General features: G+C 48.1%; 1 annotated feature.

The window, feature by feature from the left end:
* Positions 211-817: an enhancer, noted in NCBI's record as "NANOG-H3K27ac hESC enhancer chr6:126935774-126936380 (GRCh37/hg19 assembly coordinates)". NCBI's record gives its function as "activates a minimal SCP1, AML or CMV promoter by ChIP-STARR-seq in naive H9 embryonic stem cells {active_cell/tissue: H9 hESC(naive)}" and the evidence as "EXISTENCE:reporter gene assay evidence [ECO:0000049][PMID:30033119]".

Genomic DNA, 1,721 nt, shown 5'->3' with positions numbered 1-1,721 from the left:
TGGCTCATCTCATTGGGACTGGTTAGACAGTGGGTGCAGCCCATGGAGGGAGCATCAAAGCAGGGTGGGGCCTTGCCTTACCCAGAAAGTGCAAAAGGTCAGGGAACTCCCTCCCCTAGCCAAGGGAAGCCATGAGGTACTGTGCCGTGAGGAACTGTGCCATGAGGAACTGTGCCATGAGGAACTGTGCATTCTGGCTCAGATACTATGCTTTTCCCATGGTCTTTGCAACCTGCAGACCAGGAGATTCCCTTGGGTGCCTACATGACCAGGGCCCTGGGTTACAAGCACAAAACTAGGGGGCTGTTTGGGCAGACACCAAGCTAGCTGCAGGAGTTTTTTTTTTTTTTCATAATACAGTAGTGCCTCAAATGCAAACGAGACAGAACTGTACACTTACCTGGTAAGTGGGCTGAAGCCAGGGAGCCAAGTGATCTAGCTCAGTGAATTCCACCCCCATGGAGCCCAGCAAGCTCAGATCCACTGGCTTGGAATTCTCAATCCCAGCACAGCAGGCTGAAGTCAACCTGGGATGCTACAGCTTGGTAGGAGGAGGGGCATCCACCATTACTGAGCCTTGAATAGGTGGTTTTCCCCTCACAGTGTAAACAAAGCCTCCAGGAAGTTCGAACTGGGCGGAGCTAACTGCAGCTCCACAAAGCTGCTGTAACCAGACTACCTCTCTAGATTTCTCTTCTCTGGGGAGTGCATCTCTGAAAGAAAGCCAGCGGCCACAGTCAGGGGCTTATAGATAAAACTCCCATCTTTCTGGGACAGAGCACCTGGGGGAAGGGGCAGCTGTGGGCACAGCTTCAGCAGACTTAAATGGTCCTGCTTGCTGGCTCTGAAGAGAGCAGCAGATCTCCCAGCACAGTGCTGAAGCTCTACCAAGGGACAGACTGCCTCCACAAGTGGGTCCCTGAACCCCGTGCCTCCTGACTGGGAGACACCCCCCAGCAGGGGTCAACAGACACCTCATAAAGGTAGCATCTGGTGGGTGCCCCTCTGGGATGAAGCTTCCAGAGGAAAGAACAGGTAGCAATCTTTGCTGTTCTGCAGCCTCTGCTGGTGATACCCAGGCAAACAGGGTCTGGAGTGGACCTCCAGCAAACTCCAGCAGACCTGTAGCAGAGGGGCCGGACTGTTAGAAGGAAAACTAACAAACAAAAGGAATAGCATCAATATCAAAAAAAAAAAAGTCCATGCAAAAACCCCATCCAAAGGTCACCAACATCAAAGACCAAAGGTGGATAAATCCATGAAGATGAGGAAAAACCAGCGCAAAAAGGCTGAAAAATTCCAAAAACCAGAATGCCTCTTCTTCTCCAAAGGATCACAAGTCCTCACCAGCAAGGGAGCAAAACTGGATGGAAAATGAGTTTGACGAATTGACAGAAATAGGCTTTGGAAGGTGGGTAATAATAAACTCCTTTGAGCTAAAGGAGCATGTTCTAACCCAATGCAAGGAAGCTAAGAACCTTGAAAAAAGGTTAGAGGAATTCCTAACTAGAATAACCAGTTTAGAGAAGAACATAAATAACCTGATGGAGCTGAAAAGCATGGAACAAGAACTGTGTGAAGCATACACAAATATCAATAGCCAAATTGATCAAGAGGAATAAAGGATATTAGAGATTCAAGATCAACTTAATGAAATAAAGCCTGAAGACAAGATTAGAGAAAAAAGAATGAAAAGGAATGAACAAAGCCTCCAAGAAATA

Source organism: Homo sapiens, chromosome 6 (assembly GCF_000001405.40).
Source record: "Homo sapiens chromosome 6, GRCh38.p14 Primary Assembly".
Classification (NCBI taxonomy): Eukaryota; Metazoa; Chordata; class Mammalia; order Primates; family Hominidae; genus Homo; species Homo sapiens.
This window is presented reverse-complemented; position numbering and strand designations above follow the sequence as displayed.